Source organism: Homo sapiens, chromosome 1, assembly GCF_000001405.40.
Source record: "Homo sapiens chromosome 1, GRCh38.p14 Primary Assembly".
NCBI classification, from domain to species: Eukaryota; Metazoa; Chordata; class Mammalia; order Primates; family Hominidae; genus Homo; species Homo sapiens.
The window spans coordinates 189,030,513-189,053,571 of NC_000001.11; the positions used below are offsets into that span (position 1 = coordinate 189,030,513).

The 23,059-nt window shown below is 32.8% G+C and overlaps 1 long non-coding RNA gene and 1 pseudogene across 1 annotated transcript in view; one reads left to right on the plus strand and one right to left on the minus strand.

The window, feature by feature from the left end:
- LINC01035 (long intergenic non-protein coding RNA 1035) overlaps positions 1 to 7,303 on the plus strand; it is a 132,144-nt gene extending 124,841 nt beyond the window's left edge. The window contains exon 2 of the long non-coding RNA NR_174955.1: positions 6,206 to 7,303. This is a non-coding gene — a long non-coding RNA (long intergenic non-protein coding RNA 1035). The remainder of the gene's footprint in view (positions 1 to 6,205) is intronic.
- Positions 5,449 to 5,932, minus strand: CLPTM1LP1 (CLPTM1L pseudogene 1; annotated as a pseudogene).
- Positions 7,304 to 23,059: the final 15,756 nt, after the last annotated feature.

Consider the following 23,059-nt stretch of genomic DNA (forward strand, 5'->3'; position numbering starts at 1 on the left):
TGCAAGTCAAGCAACAAAAGTGTGTTGCTTTATTATGTCTATAATAAACTTACACAGAATGGTTGTGGTAAACACAAGAATGCTCAAGGCTAACATTTAAAAATATATCTGTCCTCTATTTGGCATCACCTAGGTATGACTTTTTTTCATCCTAGGCACGACTTTTTTTCATCCTAGGCACTAAACAAGTTCTCATTACCTCTTAAATATCTAGGAGAATATATTTAAAGATGTCTTCAGAAGGTTTGTTTATTTGTGCTTAATGTAATGGACAGAAATTCTAAATCAGCCACTCATGATCTCTGCCTCCCAGTGCTCATGCTATTATAGGAGCAGGACCTGTGATTTGCTTTCAACCAATAGAATAAAGAAAAAGTGATGAATGTCTCCTCCATGATTATGTTCTGCTATGTACGGCTCCATCTTGCTAGTGGACATGTAAGAGAGGCTATCCTTGCTGAAGTGGTGAAGTAGCCACGTTGGGAGGGCCCATAGGGCAAGGAACCACAAGCAGCCCCCATGAGCTTAGGCAGGTCTGAAACCCCAGTTGCAAGAAGCTGGGCCCTTCAGACATACAGTTAAAGAAAATGACTTCTTTCAATATACTGAGCGAGCATAGAGGTCAATTATTTCCTCCCAGAGCCTCCAGATGAGAATGCAACCTGACTGACACCTTTGATTGAAGTCTTATGGGATGCTAAGTAGAGGAACCAGCTATGCCATGCTTAGACATTTTACCACATAAACTATAAGATAATGAACAATTGCTATTTTAAGTTGCTATTTTTGTGGTAATTTGTTAGCAATTGAAACAGCTTAAACTAAACACATGTAAGCTTGAAATAAAATTAGGAAAAGTTATTGAGGAAAGGCTTTAGTTGTCATACTTCTTGAAAAGCAGAAAAAAATATGATGGGATAAGGAATTGATTAGTTAGAGATTTTATCATTAAAATGTCTTCATGAAAGAAAGGGAGCACTCAGAATATTTTCAAGCTCTTAACCATGTTTAATTGAGAAAGATTCAAAAACACGCCTACGCAAACTCAGTTATTATTTTTCACTTCAAAAAATAAAAGAACTTTTAAAAACCCTGAATATATCTTAAAAGTTTATATATATATATATATATATATATTTTATATATATATATATAATACTTTAAGTTCTGGGGTATGTGTGCACAATGTGCAGGTTTGTTACATATATATACATGTGCCATGTTGGTGTGCTGCACCCATTAACTTGTCATTTACATTAGGTATATCTCGTAATGCTATCCCTCCCCCCTCCCCCCACCCCACAATAGGCCCTGGTGTGTGATGTTCCCCTTCCTGTGTCTAAGTGTTCTCATTGTTCAATTGCCACCTGTGAGTGAGAACATGCGGTGTTTGGTTTTTTGTCCTTGCGATAGTTTGCTGAAAATAATGGTTTCCAGCTTCATCCATGTCCCTACAAAGGACATGAACTCATCATTTTTTATGGCTGCATAGTATTCCATGGTGTATATGTGCCACATTTTCTTAATCCAATCTATCATTGATGGACATTTGGGTTGGTTCAAAGTCTTTGCTATTGTGAGTAGTGCCGCAATAAACATATGTGTGCATGTGTCTTTATAGCAGCATGACTTATAATCCTTTGGGTATATACCCAGTAATGGGATGGCTGGGTCAAATGGCATTTCTAGTTCTAGATCCCTGAGGAATCGCCACACTGTCTTCCACAGTGGTTGAACTAGTTTACAGTCCCACCAACAGTGTAAAAGTGTTCCTATTTCTCCACATCCTTTCCAGCACCTGTTGTTTATAATACCACACATCTACAACTATGCGATCTTTGACAAACCTGACAAAAACAAGAAATGGGGAAAGGATTTCCTATTTAACAAATGGTGCTGGAAAAACTGGCTAGCCATATGGAGAAAGCTGAAACTGGATCCCTTCCTTACACCTTACACAAAAATTAATTCAAGATGGATTAAAGACTTAAATGTTAGACCTAAAACTATAAAAACCCTAGAAGAAAACCTGGGCAATACCATTCAGGACATAGGCATGTGCAAGGACTTCATGTCTAGAACACCGAAAGCAATGGCAACAGAAGCCTAAATTGACAAATGGGATATAACTAAACTACAGAGCTTCTGCACAGCAAAAGAAACTACCATCAAAATGAACAGGCAACTTACAGAATGGGAGAAAATTTTTGCAATCTACTCATCTGACAAAGGGCTAATATCCAGAATCTACAAAGAACTCAAACAAATTTACAAGAAAAAAACAACCCCATCAAAAAGTGGGCCAAGGATATGAACAGACACTTCTCAAAAGAAGACATTTATGCAGCCAACAGACACATGAAAAAATGCTAATCATCACTGGCCATCAGAGAAATGCAAATCAAAACCACAATGAGATATCATCTCACAGCAGTTAGAATGGCAATCATTAAAAGTTTAAATGAAAGAAACTAAAAACAAATAACTGTAGGCTTGTATTAAGATGATAATTTTACGATACTTTTAAAAACATAATTCCCTTTGGATGAAATCACTATTTTCTGCATAAGCTTTTAGATATATTTTACAAATAAATTATATCAAAATAATGGTTTTTAACTGAATATATATATTTTTAATGAAAAACATGTACTTAGTTTTCTGCTCAGTTTTCCTAATGAATAATTAGAGACTGTTTTCAAACATTGTTTTCAAAGATAGTTTCAAGAACATAATATATTTATTCTTTGAAAAACATATTTTTTATTTTTACATTAACAACAGACAGGCCAATAGGCATGGATTACAGGGGGCATAATCTCTCTGTAGAATCAAATTGATAATTAAATTGCTGTGTAAGCAAAATTAGCCAGGAGGTAAAAACAGAGATTTAAATGTATGTCTTTAGTTGACATGTACCTCTTTTTAATATTCCAGCACAAGACTGTACCAATAATTTTTACTAGGAAGTAGTATAATATAGTTTTTAAGAGCAAGTGCTACAATATGATAATTGAGTTTGGATTTTAAGTCTCCTAATGCTCTTGTGAAATATTGGATATTTTGCTTTACTTCTAGTAGACTCAGTTTTCTGAACAGCAAGTTGGGGTAATATCTTAAGCACAGATTTGCAGAATATTAAATTAGACTTATGCATATAAAGTACTTGGCATAATTCCTGACACATAATTCAATAAGTTAGTGTTATGATTGTTATAACTGTTGATAATGTAATTATAACCTTCAGAAAACGTATGCTCTCTCTAAGACTCTGGGCTATTCTAAATGCCAACTAATTTTCCAAGTAAACTATTCATTATTTTGTTATGTTTAAACAAACAAACAAAAATTAGATTTGGGAGGCCGAGGCAGGCAGATCACTTGAGGTCAGCAGTTCGAGACCAGTCTGGCCAACATGGTAAAACCTCGTCTCTACTAAAAATACAAAAATTAGAGGGTGGGGGCAGGTGCCTGTAATCCCAGCTACTGGGGAGGCTGAGGCAGAAGAATCACTTGAACACAAGAGGCAGAAGTTGCAGCAAGCTGAGATTGCACCACCACACTCCAGCCTGAGTGACAGAGCGAGACTCTATATCACAAAACAAAACAAAAACAAACCAGTCAGAGTCTTCATTCTCTTTCCCAAGTAAAATCTACATTCCTCCTGCTTTTCAAAACATTCCAACATGTATTTAATGATTCTCAGAGAGAAAAAAAATACATTTGGAGGAAAATTAAGGGAGCTTTTATACTGTTATTTACATTGATACCTCACAAATGAAGATATATTTATATATCTACCAAAGCCCCTGAATCTTCTACATTGCAAAATACATATAATTTTTCATGGAATGAACTGACTACTTTGCAGTTTTATTTTCAGTTATTGATACTACCTGGTGAACAAATTATTTTAACAAAGAAAATAAGGAAAACCATGTAGAATTATGAATCATGGGGTTATAGGTTTAAAAGGCAAAAAGGAACTTAGAATTTTACTGATGAATGGAAATCAGACGATATGTTGGCATTTCTTCAAACTAACCCCATGCTTTAAGTTGAAGCACCTTCATATTTCAAAGCACATTCTGCCAGAGTTTCATATAAAGGCATTTCAATTTAATTTAAATTGGCTAAAACAATTAGATAGCTTTTTCTCTCCTAAATGACTTGCTTTTGCAATGGATATAAAAGGCATTAGCTTTTAAAAAAAATTAGAGCAGGTATGAGGATTTGTCTCTTGAGATACACACTGATTATTAATAAAGAGGTTGTGAAAATTGAACATGACTTTCAGCCAACTCAGTAACATGAACTCTAAGTGACAAGTGACATTAAGAGCCCTTGAGAAGCAGGTCACTGTCAGAAGAAGGAGATACATGTAAGTATAAAAAAAATAAAATATTACCTTTGTAAAGAAGTTTAACTTCATTTTTTAACTTGAGGATCACAGTGAGCTAAAGAAAACTTGTTCAAGAGATTGTTACATCGGATTTTTTTTTAAAAGTCTTGTCTACTTGTCAGTATTCTAAAGAACTTCATGATATTATTCAATTTTCTTCAAATTCTTCAAAAGCTTCCCTTACTCTTAAGCTGTAGTCTATGCCTTGTAATAATGACACACACGCACGCGCGCACACACACACACACACACACACACACACATATATATCTCCGTGATTAATTTCTTTAATTTATGGTTGGCTAAATCCTTAAACCCCATAACTTGGTTGCACTTCTGTTGTCACGCCTTGGGTATTGCTGTTGTTCAAAATTGCTGCACCTCTCAAACCTCATCTTTAATCACACACTTTGTCTTTCTTATAACAATTCATTTTCCCTTTATCAAATACCTACCATTTCTGTCCTTCACAGTAGTTTCTGTAATTATATAATCAAACTCAATCAATATAACAGAAGACATAAGACACTTGTGTTTTGAATTCTTTAATTCACTACAAATGCTCTGCTATTTTTGCATTCATAATTTTAAACTGTAAATAACAATAACTACTATTGTCAGTTAGAATTTGGGGAGAAAGAAGAAGCAGGCTAGTGGGTTGTACTAACATACAAATGTTTTGTGAATCCATTCCTTTCAGGCTTCTGCATAATACCTTTTTTTTCCTCTTTAATGGAGAGAGCTGCTACAAAGCAGAGTAACCCCAAATGCCCAACAGCTCTGTGACTCAGACAGATGTTTAAATGTTGGGAATAGGATGGCTATGCAAGTGCTAACAGTTCTTTCCATATGAAATATAAAGGAAAACCAGGAGATCTATAGGAAACATTAAGATTTTGGTAATGCAAAAAAAAAATAAATAAAATTAAATGTCCAAGGAAATCACCAAAAGTTTCCCAAAATAGTCGGATAATTTCAGCTTTGTTCTGAAAGTGGTAGTCCCAAGAATTTCCTCTCAGAATTTCTCCTCTAATGTGGAGGAAAGTTTAGTCTGTGTCAGGGTTTCACATGGCCTTTTCCTCAGTAAGGCTTCTCAAATATGTTTATTCTACTTTTATCCACAGGACAAAGCCATCTTTGGTGAAGATAAATAAGAAACACCTGTTCTTTATACTATGTCAGCCAGTATGATGTTGGTGTGGGGATAAGAAAAGCAGACATTGTTAATGAAACTATTACAAGCTTTTTACGTAAATGTCTTCCAAGGTAGATGTGCAGCTGACTTCAATGTGTAATTAACAAATAACCGGGGTGACATCGATAGAAAGCCAAAAGTATATACTTCATTGATAAAACTATTGATTAACCAAGAGTATCAACTGATATTCTCGATTTTCAGGAGTAAATAAATGACATCTCAATATAGACAAGGTAGAGTAAAACAGGCAAATATTTCATGACCTTAGAATCTTATCCTTTGGTTTTCTTTTCAGAATCACTAAAACTGCCAAACTAAAATTCAGGTTGTAGGCAGTTAATCTTCTTGACTATCCCTTTCAAATGGTGTATATTGTTTCTTGCATATTTTCAAGGTTTTCTCCTTGGCTTTAGCTTTCAGTATTTTACCTTGATGTGCATGCTTATGAGTATCTTATTTTTATCTACATGGAATTTGTAGAATTTCCTAAATGTTTATTTTGTTTCTTCAGGTTCACACTTTTTTTTTCCTTTACCTGTTATATATTTTGTTGAGCTTCTTTAGTGAATTTTTTTTTATTTTTACTATTGTTCTTTCAACCCCAGAATTGCCCCCCTGGGGTCCTCTTGGCTTCTCTCTCCTGTCGTGGAACCATGCCTCACAAAGCAAGGGCTGTTGGCCCAGAGTACTCTCTGCTTACTGCATGAAAGAAGAACCTCTGATTCATGCATGAGGCTGGATGAATGAAAGGAGCCCATAGCTCTCCATCATACTCCCCTGAAACATAGCCTCAGCAACAAGCTTCTAAGGGCAGAACGAGAAATGATGAAGCCCCGCTCCTCCTGGGAAGCAGAAAACTACAGCTGAAAGATGGGGAGGAGTTTTGGAATTTTCACCACTTACCAGTTATTTTGGAGAGCTGATCAGTAGAACGCCTCATGCTGTCATCATAGAAGTTGATCAAAGTATTGTTTTCTTTCAGTCCACTAATTATATTTTGTCCTCAAATTATATTCTACCAAAATTCTGTTTCACCATAGTCCAAGTATTTTAAAAAGTTTTCTTGCCCTGTTCTTATTATGCAAAACGTAAGAACTATCCTTTTCCACCATCTCTTTGAAAAATCAAATATAAAACTGAAACACAATTCTGTTCCTTTCATGGTAATCTTTTCTATAGTACTCTATTTTCTGCTCATTGCTGACAGTAATGACCACATATTACATTTCAAATATGTATCTAGTTTTCCTAATCCCTTATCAAATATATATTTATGAATTGCAGTGGCAGTATAAACACTTCCATCTATATCTTCATATGTAGAAAGCACAGTTTCTTGCACAGGAGAGACGCAATAAGTATAGTGTCTATTATGACCACATTTATAAGTCAAAAAGGAGTTTGAAATGTTTCTACTTAAAAAGTCCTCCTTTTTCAAAAATTCTGTGAGACTTTGTGTAGAACAGGAATTATTACTTTCTTAAAGTGTGTAGTAGAATTCACCAGTGATAGCCTCTATTCCTGGAGTTTCTTTTGTGCAATGATTTTAAACTATAAAACCAGTTTAGTTGACAGCCTTGAGGCTATTAAATTGTATCCTAATTACATCTATTTCTTTTAAATGTCTTTCTTAAATTGACAAATAAATTGTATGTTTTTATGTATAATATGATGTTTTAAAGTAAAATTAGCTAATTAACAAATGTATAACCTCATATTTATTCTTGAATACGTTTTATTTTTATGTTTTTCTGATAATTTTTCTAATTCATCTAAGTTGGTGACTTTATTGGAATGAAGTTGTTGTTAATATTATCACAACTAACCTGTTAATACTTTAAATATTGAAGTGGTGCCAACTCTCTCATTTCTTATATTGCAGACTTTCTTGATAGTCAACAACTTTATGAATCTATTCAAAATCCCAGCTTTATTTTAATTGCCACATTGATTATTTTTATTTTTATTTTCAAAACATGGCTTTCCTCTCTGGTCTTTATTATTATTTTTCTTTTCAATCATATATGATTCTTTTCTTTGTTTCTAAAATTGGAAGCTAAAATTATGGACCTCATATTTTTATTCATATTATAGTTGTTTAGTGTTATAAATTTTCCTCTTAGAAGTGCTTTAGTTCCATCATCTAATAAATTTTGATAAAATGTTGCTTGTTTATATTGGTGAACCACTACCAAGAGATAAAAGTTTTATTAACTTTCTCTCAATATAACATTTTCCCCTGCTAATGCTTATCTGTACTACTTGCTTGGTATCCAATGAAATTCTATCCCACTTTTTGAATAGTTTCATCTGGTAATTAATCACATACAATTTTATGTATACATTTACTGTTTTAGTAGTTTTAATGCATATGCCCTTAATATTTGAAGTGATATCATCTATTAAAGAGTGAAGTCTGTGGTGGTTTTTTCTCTTAATTTACACACTGAACATCTAAACTCATGGTTATCAATGAAAATCGATTGAATTACATTGATGTAATTAACTGAGATTGAAACATGGTCTGATTTTATAGTGAAATACGTGGGAATCTGGAAACAAGTTTTTCTTTTATATAAGATTTCCTCTGAGTATGTTAGAAAAATATAATATTCTTCTACATCCCATGACACTGACCATCCAAGATAGCATCAGCAGCTCAGATCCCAAATCTTCACGGCATTGAAATATAGATGCTTTTTGTTTGTTTGTTTTAATGCCAAAAGGTTAAAAATGTGGAGAAACTTTACAATGAGACCCAAATAGTTACAGTATTCAATGTTGCTAGCACTGACCACATTTATAAGTGACAAAGGAGCCTATGTATCCTTGAATAAATGTCTCTGTGTGATGTATGACTCTAAAGCTGAAATGACACTTGCTGTATCAATTTCCTCAGCTGTAAACTGAGGATAATAGTGATATACATTGCCTAGGAATGTGTGAGTATAAAACTTACAATGTTTGTGACATTTGGATCGAACTGTATGATACTTGGTACATTAATGATAATTATTCACTTTCTCAAAACTTCAGGGATTTTAAATACATATACATACAAACACATATGCTATTTGTAATACAAAATAATCTTGTGAAAATGAGTTAATCTATTTAATGTGGAGATCAGATTTTGGCAACCTATAGTTTATGGACCAAATCCAGCCTGTTATCTGTTTTGTAAATAAAAATTTATTGGAGCACAATCCTACTCTTTGATTTATTAATTGTCCAGGGAAGTTTTCACACTACAGCAGCAGAACTGAGGAGTTGTGCCAAAGATCATGTGGCCACAAATTGTGACACTTACTCTATGGAACCTAAGGTCTTTGCTACACACACACACACAGGCACACAGACTCACACACGTTTGTCACCAACTCCTGGTATAGAATATAGCTTATATTCAGTATCAAATTGCCAGTCTCCCTTATCAGCCTAATAAGTATTTTAATTTGTAGTTATAAAATGAATTGTATTTTTGTTATTTATATATATGTATAGATTTACAGTGTTCTTATACTGGAAAATAAAATTATCTCACTTAAAAGTTAGAAATATGTTGCAAGAGATTATAAATATTTTCTAGAATTGTATAAGTTGTGTGTGCTGGAATTCAAGGCTTTGTTTGATAATAAATAACATTATAATGTTTTTTAACTATATTATTTTAGAGAAGGAAAATTTTTTCTAAAATATTAATAAGTGAAATCATTATGTATTCCAGTTAAATAATGTTGAAATAAATAACCATTATTTTTTGCCATTATTAGTATGCATAAGATGTAAATTTAAATAAAATAATATTTATGAAAACATTTTGATTTTCTCCATCAAAGACAGGACTTCATCAAGGAAATTGTTTCTTTCAATGAGAACACACTCTTTTTAAATTTTTGTCTTAGATAAAAAGAGAAAGCTAAAAAAAATATTTAGAAAGTCTGCAAACCTATGAAAGCCTGGAGTTATCATGTAGCTCTTAATTTAAACCCTTTTGACCTCATATAATATATTTTATCTAATAGATTAACTTTTTTTTGCCCTGAAATAGCTTCATTTTGTTTTGTTTTGAAATTCTCATTCACTTTTAAACTTTTAAACAATTTTCCAATAGTATTTTAAAAACTAAACAAATGTGTAGATATTTCTTCAGTCATCAAAGATGTAATTAGCATTAACAGTATGTAATTACTTCCTATAAATCACATTTGTGAATCAAATTGTGTGAATTTTATAATGGTATATGTATTTCAAAATCTTAAATCTATGTTTAGATAATATAGAAAATTACAAAAGTTATATTTCTTGGTTTTAGCCATTATTTTTCATTATGGGAAAATATCCATTTAATAAGTGCATTTCTAGAGCAACTTCAAATAATTTAGGAAATGTAAAATGACTTAAAATGCACAATATTTGTAAATATTGTGAATAGCAATTTTAGTATTGCTAAAACTAATTCAGAGTTAACAAGAGCCTAAAATGATGGTATTTTTCTGGCTTTTTCTCATGTTGGGAATATAAATTTCTGCTTGTTCTGTAAAATAACACGCTGTTGATTTTTTGGGAAGAAAGATGCTGCTAGTCATCATGTGTCTTTCTTCTTGTAAGTACTTGCATTATGATATTCAGATATGGTAGTATTAATATTGTAACAGATAGGAGTAAATAACTCTATTTAACAGATTAGCAAAGAATAAGGAAGACATTTAAACACTGTGACTAAGCCTGGTATCAACCATTCTTAGCTGTACATTTATTTCTACCACAGCACTTAGTGTTAAAATTTCTTGTAGCAGCCAAGCATTCCAAATGTTCTCCATTATTTTTCCCCCACTGCAGTAAAGAGAAAGTATAGAAGATAAATAAGAAACAAGTTTAATCCAGGTTGTTTATGGCATTTGGATCAATAACTTGCACTCAAGATAGAAAAAGCAACTTTATAAAGCAGTCTTTCTGACAAGATTGCATGTTGCCCCTGAAAAATATTGTTTCTGATACATTAGGGATGTAATTAATAATAGCTGAAGATTTAGTATTTCAGAAAACCCCTACAGAATAACAACAAAATTCTACGTCTTATGTGTTTCTAAGAGTGTAGGTGAATTTGAGAATGGCTATCAATAGGTTGTGATTTATCCTAGTAACTTTGGATAACATTGCAGCTATCTTTATCTAAGGCAGACACTGTTGTCAGCGTTTTTATCGATATAACTAGATAAGGTTTAAAAAGTGTATATGATTCCAGTAGTCACAGTAAGAGACTGAGGTAAAAACCAAAAATAACAATCAGCCAAAAAAGAAAAAAAAAACACCAACTAATGTTGTTAAATAAATAACTTTTTTTTGATGCTTACAGTTTTCTTTGTTCTGCCTGCTTTAAACAAGTTTGGGAAATGAATGCAATTTTCCATGTCCAATGCCCTAAATCAAAAAGGGTATTCTATCAGTCATTTCATATAATGGACTAAATGCAAGTCAATGGTCTCAGGTGTTATTTTTCTCAGAAATATTTGATAGGGTTAACATTTCCTTGAGAAATAACTAACTTTTCTCCTGTTAACAAATATTAGCCTAAAATGCAAGAAATTAGAATTTTTATGGACAATCATTATTGACAGTACGGCTGAAACTATACCTACAAGGAAGCTACCCCAAAGAGTCATGAGTGGAATACAACAATGACAAAAAAAAAATTCCACAGCATTTTAAAATGTAATTTTAAGGCATACAAGTGAAGTTTGTTACATGAATATAATGTACCGTGGTGAAGTCTAGGCACTTACTGTAACCACAACCTGAATAGAATGGAACCTTACATTGAATCATTAAGTAATTTCTCATACCTTACTTCCTTCCCACTCTTCCAGCCTTCTGAGTATCCAATGTCTACTATTCCACACTCTGTATCCAGGTGTAAACATTATTTAGCTTACAAGTGAAAACATGTGATATTAGATTTTCTGTTTATGAGTTATTCCACTTAAGACAGCATCTTACGATTTCATCCATGTTGCTATAAACGACACTATTTCATTTTGTATAGCTGAATAATGTTCATATATATCTATATATTTCATTATTCAATGATCTGTTAATGGACACTTAGGTTGATGCCATATCTTTGCTATTGTGAATATTGCTGCAATAAACATACTAGTTCAGTTATCATTTTGATAAAATGATTTCTTTTTCTTTGGTTGATACTCAGTAGTGGAGTTTATGGATCAAATGGGATAGTTCTATTTTTAGCTGTCTAAGAAGTCTCCATAGTGTTTTCCATAGAGTTTGTACTAATTTACATTCTCACCAACATTGTATACACATTCCCTTTTCTCTGCATTCTCACAAATATTTGTTATATTATTGTATACTTAATAATAGCCACTCGTAATGATGTACAACGATATCTTATTGCGGTTTTAATTGTAATTTCTCTGACGATTTGTAACATTGAGCATTTCTTTTTGGTCTGTTGGCCATTGTATGTCTTCTTTTGAGAAATGTCTATTCATGTCCTTTGTCTACTTGTTAATGGAGTTTTTTGTGGTTTGTGGTTGTTGTTTTGTTGTTGAGTTATTTAAGCTTCTTATAAAACCTGAATGTCAGTTCTCTTTTGGGTGCATAGTTTGCAAATATTTTCTCCCATTCTGTATGTTGTCTCTTCACTCAGTTCATCACTTCTGGAAATAAAATAATCACTGAAGGAATTACAAAATAAAATTGAAAGGTTTAACCATAGAATAGACCAGGCAGAAGAGACTCTATGACCTTGAAGACAAGTCTTTTGAATTAAGCTAGTCAGAAAAAAATAAAGAGAATAAGAAAAAAGCATTCTAGAAATATGAGAATACATAAAGCAACTAAATTTATAAATAATTGATATTTCTTAGGGAGAAGAAAAAGCAAAAATTTAGGAAACATATTTAAGGAAATAATTGATGAGAATTTCTTTAGGCAAAAGATTTATGCATCCAGATACAAGAGGCCCATACTTTGCAAGATGATCATCACTATGACATATAATTTTCAGACTATCTAAAGTCAACATGAAGAAAAAGAATACAAAATCAACAAGAGAAAAGTGCTACTCACCAATAAAGAAAACCACGTGAGACTAACAGCACACTTCTCAGCAGAAACCTTATAAGCCAGAATCGACTGGGATATTATTTTCAGGTTGCTTAAAGAGAAAAAAAAATCAACCACAAATTTTATATTCTGTCATAATAAGCTTCATAAGTAAAGAAGAAATAAAGTCTTTTCCACACAAGCAAACATTGAGAGGGTTCTTCACCACTAGATAGTTTCTACCAGAAATTCTCAAAGGAGATCTAAACATAAAAATGAAAGATCAATAGTTGTCATCATAAAAACATGATAGTACAAAGTTCACAGGTCTTAAAACAATTTCATAAAAGATGAAGATAATTATAATGTCAACATGACAGAACTCCGCCAAACTATGCAGATAAACAGAAAAATTTTAAAAAATACATGAAATAATTAATGTAATGACAGGAACAAGACTTCCCATATCAAGATTGCATAGCATCTTAAAGGGAAAACAACTAACTCGTTGACTAAGTTACCTTGAATAATTGGGATGTGAATCTAAAGTACTTTCTGTACTTTCAAAGTTATGTTGCATAGTCATTCTTTCCTGTCCACAATGACATTTCAAGGAGAGCTTATCACCTTTGAGTTGATTTCCATTTCTAAAAATTTAGTTGGGCAAAGATTGAATTTTAAACTCAGTTCAAAATATTTTTCTCTCCATTAAATGGCTCAAAACCTTAGAATCGGGAGGAATCAGTTCCAGTTCTTTCACAGCCCCTCCTTCTTCAGGACAAAACTCTTCGGTAGTTAAGTGACAGCAGAATAGAGCAAGGTTTTGGTATTTTTTGTTTTTTTGTTTGTTTTGTTTTATTTTTAATAATCCCATTAACAGAGATTCTTATCAAAAGTGTTATCTATTAACACCAATTTTATATTTTTTATTTCCATAAATAAATCCATTCCATTAGACTACTCTCTTAACACTTTCTCATTAATGTATCTAAAATGAAGTTGCTTTACTGGCCAATATCTCATCTATACCTTCCATATTCTATTTCCACATAAGTAATGGCCCCATCATCCACCCAGTTGATCAAGCTAGACATCTCAGAATCTTCTTTGATTACTTCTTCACCATTAACATCCATCTAATCTAATGTTTTATTGGTTCCTTCACTTTTATATAAAAATGTATTTAACTCATTCTTGCATATCCTCATTCTCACTGTCAAAATTCTACCCTAAACCAACATTAAATATTATCTTATTTAACTATAGTAGTAGAATCCTATGCCTTCCAACCTCTCTTTTCTAACTGAAAAAAAAAGTGTTTTTTGTAAAAAGTGATACACACACACACACACATCATGATGTCACTTCTATGTTTAAACTATTTCAATCACATCCCATTTACTCAGCATAAAAAATCTCTGTCTTGTCTACCTGGATCAGGACTTGGCCTTTATTTTTTTCTTTCCTTTTAAAATTCTCTTATAATTTAAATAGTTAGAACTATGTATCAGGGCAAGATGTTTGTTTTTATATGCCTTGCTTTTTTATCTTCTGCATTTTATCTTAATTGTGAAAGTTGCAATGTTGGTATCCAATCAAAGTGTTTAGTTAGAGTTACCAAGTATTATTCTGTATTCCAGATTGAGATTGTCTTCATTCATTTAAAATTTTTGATCTTAAATTTTGTATTTATTTGTCATTTTTAAATCTTCTTTACCCAATGGCTGGTGACTTTCACAATAAAAGTAGCAATGTGTGTTAAAGTCATGTATACATTAGTTATGAGTAACTAGGGATGATCTTCCATATTAGTTATTAAGGTATAACACATAAACCACCATATATGTGTGTGTGTGTGTGTGTATGATATGTGTTTATGTATGTGTATATATGTATACATATTTGTGTTTGTGTGTGTATGTACAACGTGATCAATGTGGTTCCACAACTAATTGAGAAAAGTGTTCAGAATACGCAGGTGAAAAAAATGTATCTCTCCATTAAATTATTAAGTTGCTATCTTAAACTAGTAGGACAAAATGCAGAAAAAATGTTCTTGTAGCTTAGGAAGGGGATAATACCTTTGAAGCAATGCTGAAAGAATCAGTGCAACAAACATTAATTAGTATAATTACATCAAAGTAAGGGTTTAAATGAAGAACAAAATAGACAAAGTTTTTAGCCAGAAAAATATATTAGGAAATGATACTGGAGTATCTAAAATCATCAAGATAATAATTTTGAAAAGTCAATAACAAAATAATTTTATATTTTAATCTAATCTGACAAATTATAAAGCTGAATATTCATGTACTGGTAAGATTATAAGGAGAAATGACAATTGTGGTATTATTGGTCTTTTTAAATTTCATTAGGTGTAACTATATTTTTTAAAAGTCTAGAAATGTCCAATGTTACAGTTACACACAACAATGAATACATTATTATGATGGAAAATTAAGCATTCACATAATCTGTAATTTTATACCTGAGTAGGAATATGCATCCAAAAATACCTTAACATTCTTTTGGTGCTAGGTGTTAATACAAAGATATTGATATCAATGTTATTGACTATATCAAAAAGTCATCAGTTATCTGTATTTCCATCACTATAGGAGTTAAGTAGAATATACATGCAGAATGATGCAGCAGCAAGAACTAACATTTTATGATAAAGGAATATGGTTAGGTGTAAGTATAGATTAAAAAAACTAAATTATACATCTACTGATGAATAGATAAAAAATCTTCTTTGTTCACACAGTAGAACACTACACAAAAATAAAATAGAATAAGTGCTGATACACATCACAATGAAAGCCTATGATAAGTGAAAAATCCAGACACATATGACTCCCATTTTACAATTTCGTGGGCTATATTGAAATGATATGGAATTGTGGGTGACAAAAGAGAAGTGCATGATAATCTGACCACTCCTGAGAGAGCTGATCATTCTTGCTTGCTATAAGATCTTATCTCTGGGGAGGCTAGGAAGAAGTAAAGTATTTGTGATTTGTCTCTGATGTTTTCTTAATAGTACTCACTGACAATTTCTATATTTCAAGTAAAACGTTATTGCACAATTGCTGATGCAAACATAAATATCTGCAGAGTTGCAGCATTTTGGCTCATTTTGGTTTTAGGAAATGAGATATAATTTATTCTCAATCTGGTACATTTTGGGTGCCTTCCATCTATTTCCAGAAGATAAGATATGCACAGTGAATGTGTACTGGTATCAATTACTGTCTTAAATAAATTAGAGAACGTGATATCACCTCTTTGTACCTGCCCCAAAAAACTGTTCATTTTAGCTCTACAAAATTTTGAGGGTGGGGGGTGATAGAGAAAACGTAATGTGAGATACAGGTTATGTATTGGCTTATTTGTTCAGGATTCTGTTAGTTTTATCTCGGTAGTTAAGTACCAACTTCATCTAATTGAGCCAACTTATAAGGAAAGCTGTTCTTCATATACAGATGTATAAATGCCACACTTCTGAGCAAGCTGTATTGAGGAGAGTGGTTGAACATATTCTGGATTGTAAAGCATGTTTACTTAAAAGAAATCCTTACAATTACCTGTGTTATTTATACTTATTTATATAAGTTGCTTAACTGTTATACACCATTGTACCTTTCAATTTAATGCACATCTTTGGAGAAAATAGACATGATATATAGAATACATCCATTCAAATTTAAATTAATATTAATGAAATTAATAATATTTTTCAAAATGAAGGTGTTCATGTATATGTCAGAGCATTTTTTTGCTAGAGTACATAATTTTATAGTCACATTTTATCATTCTGAATATAAACATGATTAAATCTATAACTTAATAAAGATTGGTTTAATAGAGTGCACTTCTAGAGCTTCAAAAATGGTGTGCTCTGACTTTGCTTTTGCTTGATATTTTACAAATTTATTATTATCAATCTTTGGAAATTTCTGACCCTATGATAACATTCATTATTTCTACAAAATTCTTTGTAAATTTGCTTTTTCTTTCAGGAATTTGATGTAGTGAAATTTGCTATTTCAATGATCTGTTCCTTCCAGAAGAAAAAAGGTTACTTAAAATTAATACCTAATATCAAATGAAGACCAGAACATTACAAGAAAATAAAACTGCAAAGCCATATCCTTCATGAAAATTGATGTGAAAATCTTTGACAAAATATTGGTAAATTGAAGACAACAATATACACAGAAAGCCTCATCACTAAGTAGATTTATCTCAAAAAATAAATGGTTCATTTGTCATTTAAAAAGAAAATAAAGTCATTATCTCAACAGATACAGAAAAACAATTTGAAAAAGTTTAACATCCATCTATGTTGCATGAAAAACTTAAAGCTAACATCTCTGTTTTATTATGTACAGTAACTTTATTTACTTTCTAATGATCTCAACTTCAAGATTCAGGGGGTACATGTACACATTTGTTATATGATTATATTGAGGGATGCTGAGGTTTGGAGTGTGGTTCGTCACTCAGGGAGTGAACACGGTACCCAATAGGTAGTTTTTCAACCCAGGCCTTACTTCCTCACTACCACCTCTAGTAGTCCACAGGACCTATTGTTCCCATGTTTACGTCCCTGAGTACTCAGTGTTTTACTCCCAGTTATAACTGAGAACATGTTGTGTTTGGTGTTGTCTTCCTGCATTACTTCACTTAGGATTTATGGCCTCCAGCTCCATCCATGTTGTTGCAAAGAACATGATTCCTCCTTCTTTTTTTTTTTTTTTTTTTTTTGAGGTGGAGTCTCGCTCTGTCTGGAGTACAGTGGCGCGATCTTGGCTCAGTGCAAGCTCCGCCTCCCGGGGGTCACGCCATTGGCCTGCCTCAGCCTCCCAAGTAGCTGGGACTACAGGCACCCACCTCCACGCCTGGCTAATTTTTTGTAGGGACGGGGTTTCACCGTATTAGCCAGGATGGTCTCGATTTCCTGACCTCGTGATCCGCCCGCCTCGGCCTCCCAAAGTGCTGGGATTACAGGCGTGAGCCACCGCGCCAGGCCCATGATTCCATTTTTTAATAACTGCATAGTATTCCATGATATAAATGTACAACATTTTCTTCATCCAACCCACTATTGAGGGGCACATATGTTGACTTCATGTCTTTGCTATTGTGAATAGCATTGCCATGAACATACCAGTGCATGTGTCTTTTTGATAGAATAACTTATTTTATTTTGGGTATATACTCAGTAATAGGATTTCTGGGTTGAATAGTGTCTCTGTTTTAAGTTCTTAGAGAAATTGCAAAACTGATTTCCACTGTAGCTGAACTAATTTACATTTCTTTCAATAGTATATATAAGTGTTCCTTTTTTCTACAGCCTCACCAGCATCTGTTATTTTATGGTTTTTAATAGTAACCATTCTGACTAGTGTGAGATGGTATCTTGTGGATTTTACTTGCATTTCTCTGATGATTAATGATGCAGAGTATTTTTTCATGTTTAGTACCTGCTTGTACGTCTTCTTTTTAGAAGCATCTGTTCATGTCCTTTGCCCATTTTTTAATTTGGTTATTTGGTTTTTGCTTGTTGATTTCTTTAAGTCCCTTATAGATTATGGATATTAGAATTGTGTCAGATGCATATTTTACAGAATTTTTCCCCAATTCTCTAGGTTGTCTGTTTACTGTACTGATAATTCCCTTTGCTTTGCAGAAGCTCTTTAGTTTAATTAGGTCTTCCTTGTCCATTTTTGTTTTTGTTGCAATTGCTTCTGGGGACTTAGCAAAAAATTATTTGCTAAGGTCCATGTCCACAATGATGTGTTCTAGGTTTTCTTCTAGGATTTTTTATAGTTTGAGATCTTATATTTACATAAGATTACTTAATCCATGTTGAGTTAATTTTTGTACATGGTGAAAGGTAGGTATTTAGTTTCATTATTCTGCACGTGGCTACTCAGTTATCCACACATCATTTATTGAATAGCAAGTTTCTCCCCCTTTAATTGGTTTTGTTGGCTTTGTCAAAGATTCTATGGTTGTAGGTGTACAGCGTTATTTCTGGGTTTCCCATTGTGTTCCATTGGTCCATGTATCTGTTTTTGTACCAGTATGATGGTGTTTTTGTTTACTATATCCTTTCAGTACACTTTGAGGTCAGATAATGTGATGCCTCTGGCTTTGTTCTTATTGCTTAGTATGAATTTGACTATCCTGACTCTTTTTCAACTTCATATTTTAAAATAGTTTGTTGTAATTCTGTGAAAAATAATCTTGGTAGTTTGACAGAAATAGCGTTGGTTGCTTTGGGCAATATGGCCATTTTAGCAATATTGATTCTTCTATTCCATGAGCATGGACTGTTTTTCAGTTGATTGACATCGTCTCTGATTTCTTTCAGCAATGCTCTGTAGTTCCTATAGAGATCTTTCCCTTTCACTTCCTTGTTTAGATATAGTCTTAGGCCCTATGTATTTCAGGGTTTTTTTTTTCCATGTTAAATAAAATTGTGTTCCTGATATGACTCTCAGCTTGAATGTCGTTGCATAGAAATGCTACTAATTTTGTATATTAACTTTGTATCCTGAAACTTTACCAAAGCCATTTACCAGTTCCAGGAGCATTTTAGTGGAGTCTTAGGGTTTTTTGGGTATAAAATCATATAATCAGGTAAAGAGTTTAATTTCATCTTTTCCTAATGGATGTCTTTTATTTTTTTCTTTTGTCTGATTGCTCTGGCTAGGATGTCCAATAGCATGTTCAATAGAAGTGGTGAGAGTAGGCATTCTTGTCTAGTTCCATTTCAGACAAGAAATGGTTCCAGCTTTTGCCTGTTCAGTATGATGTTGGCTACGTGTTTGTAATAGATGGCTACCATTGTATTGAAGTATGTTATTTTAGTGTGTAGTCTGTTGAGGGCTTTTATCATGAATGGATGTTAAATTTTATCAAAAGCATTTTCTGAGTCTATTGAGATGATCACATGATTTTTATTTAAGTCTGTTTATGTGGTGAATCACTTTTACTGATTTGCATATGTAAAGCCAGCCTTCATTCCCAGGAGCAAAGCCTACTTGATCATGGCGTATTAACTTTTGGATGTGCCGCTGATTCAGTTTGCTAGTAACTTGTTGAGAAAATCTGTGTATATGTTCATCAGGAATATTGGCCCTAAGTTTTGTTTTGTTTTTTTCATTGTGCCTGTGCCAGATTTTTGCATCAGGCTGTTGCTGAGTTTATAAATGAGCCAGGTAGGGCCTCTCTGCTATAATTTTTTGAGAATAGTTTAAGTAGGATTGGTACCAGGTTTTCTTTGTATGTCTAATAGAATTGGCTATAAATTCATTCGGTTCAAGACTTTCTTTGGTTGGCAGTTTTGTATTACTGACTCAATTTCAAAAGTTGTTCTTGGTCTGTTGACTTTTTCACTTTCTTCCTGGTTTAGTCATAGGAAGTTTTGTGTTTTTCCAGGAATTTATCCATTTTTTCTAGACTTTCCAATTTGTGTACATAGAGTTGTTCAAAATAATCTCTGAGTATCTTCTGCATTTCTATGGGATTGAGTGTAATGTCATTGTTGTTCTTTTGATTGTGTTTAATAGGATCTTCTCTCCTTTTTTCCTTTGATAATTTAGCCAGCAGTCTATCAATTTTGTTTATTCTTTTGAAAAACCAATGTTTTGTTTCATTTATCTTTTGTATGGATTTTTACATCCCAATTTTGTTCAGCTTTTCTGTAATTTTATTTATTTTCTTTTTTTGGGGGGAGCTTTTTAAAATTTTGTTCTAGTTTCTTTGACTATATAGTTCTATTGTTAATTTGAGATCTTCCTAACTTCTTGATGAAGGTGTTTAGCACTACCAAGTTTCCTCCTACCACTGATATTGTTGCATCCCAGAGACTTTAGTAAGTTGTGTCCCTATTAAATATTTTTTTTCTTATTTTCTTCTGAATTTCATTGTTGATCCAGGGGTTATTCAAGAGCAAGTTGTTTAATTTCCATGTATTATTTAGTTTTGAGAGATATTTTTGAGATTCATTTCTGTTTTTACTCAACTATGATCTGAGAGTATGCTTGGTATATTTTCTATTTATTTTTAATTTATTGAGACTTTATGACCAAGCATGTGGTCTATATTAGAATACATTCCCTGTGCAGATGAGAAGAATGTATATTCTGTAATATTTGGGTGGAATATTCTGCAGATGTGTATTACATCCAATTGTTTGAGTGTTGAGTTTAATTCCTGAATTTCTTTGTTAGTTTTCTTCCTCAATAATCTGTCTAACCCTGTCAGTAGGGTGCCGAAGTCTCCCATTTTTATTGTGTGTCTGTCTAAATATTTTCATAGTTCAAGTGCATTTCTTTTACTGGTGTGTGTCTCAGTGTTAAGTGCATATATATTTAGGATAGTTAAGTGTTCTTGGTGAATTGTACCCTTTATCATTATGTAAAGCCCTTCTTTGTCCTTAATTGTTTTTTTCATGTAAAGTCTGTTTTATCTGATACAAGAATAATGACTCCTGCTCTTTTTTCTTTTCAGTTTGCATGATAGATCTTTCTCCATCACTTTACTTTGAGTTTATGTGTGTTATTAAATGTGGGATGTGTCTCTTGAAGAAAGCAGATGGTTTGACTTGTCTTTTTATCCAGCTTTTTTTTTTTTTTTGCTTTTTTTTTTTTTGAGATGGGGTTTCGCTCTTGTCTCCCAGGCTGGAGTGCAATGGCGTGATCTCTCCTCGCTGCAACCTCAGCCTCCGGGTTCAATCGATTCTCCTGACTCAGCCTCTTGAGTAGCTGGGATTACAAGTGCGTGCCACCATGTCCGGGTAATTTTTGTATTTTTAGTAGAGATGGGGTTTTACCAGGTTGGCCAGGCTAGTCTCGAACTACTGACCTCAAGTGACCCACTCGCCTCGGCCTCCCAGAGTGCTGGGATTACAGGTGTGAGCCACCGCAGCTGGCCCTTTTTACCCAGCTTTCTACTCTATGTCTTTTAGGTAAAGTGTTAGACTATTTACATTCAGAGTTAGTCATTATTTTGATTTTTTGTTATCGTGTTGTTAACTTGTTGTTTTGTAAACTTGATTGGGTAGTTGCTTTATAGTGTCCGTGATCTGTGTTCTTAAGTGGAATTTTGTGGTAGGAGGTGTTATTCTTTTGTTTCCATGTTTACCATTCCCTTAAGATTTTACTTTTTTATTTTTATCTTTTAAATTTTTGATACAGGGTCTGGCTGTATTACCTGGCTGGAGTGCAGTGGCACGAACACAGCTGACTGTAGCCTTGATCTCCCAGGCTCAGTCTACCTGCCTCAACCTCCCAAGTAGCTGGGACTATAGGTGCACACCACCATGCCCAGCTAATTTTTATATTTTTATAGAGATGAGGTCTCACTATGTTCCTCAGAATACTCTTGAACTGTCCTGAATACATTATTCAGTTGGATGTGGTGATTACCTTTTAACAAAGCATGTAAATGTTGCATGTTTTATGGCCAAACTATAAATTGTTACAGTTATTTTAGTGGATCAGTTTAATGATGTTAAAAATAAGTCCATCATATTGTATCTCACTGCGAGGGAAAACAATTCCTGAAGTAGAATTTTCATGCTTTATAGCTCCTTCTATCTCTATATTATTGGCAAGTTTTGAGTTGATCCTCTTACAAAGTCAATATTCTGTCTAAAGTCTGTAATCTGAATAAAACTTAGTTGATAATGTTACTGAATGCCATAGTAAACTCCACCTGCAATAATTAATAAAAACATACTGTTTGAAGTAACATGCAAAAGTTTCTGAACATGTAGTATGTTTTACTTTTTCTACCTTGAATAAAATACATTAATTGAACATCAAATCAGCATAATTTATAGAAAAAAATCAACCAACATGAATAGTGAATCAAATAAATAGATTACCCCAATAGGAAATATGATTTGTTTTATTTTTAAAAATAAATTTGTTTTTTCTTGTATCAGTCACATTCATGCTTCATAGATATTCCTGGTTCATGAAATAATTACTCAATTCACCTTTAATGGATGAGATAATCTGAATGTATACTTGTTGTTATTGCTCATGCATATTGTAGCTTGACTGAACCTCGTTCATATAAAATAATGTATAATTAAAAGATAAAATGACACCTTTGTCCAATAAAATAATATAGAAAGTAGAAATGTGATTTTTAAAAAACATTATTTCAGAAAGAAAAAAAATTGCGACAAGTAGTGAAATATTATGTCAGGAAGATAAGGGGAGATGTCAGTCATGGAAAGTCTTGTATGTCATATTAAAGGCTTTGATTGCGTAAACTAGAATGACATTGGAATGTTATACCTATAGAAGTGAGAAGGTAAGACTTAACATCATCGCAAGACCATTCTGGATGCTGTGTAGTAA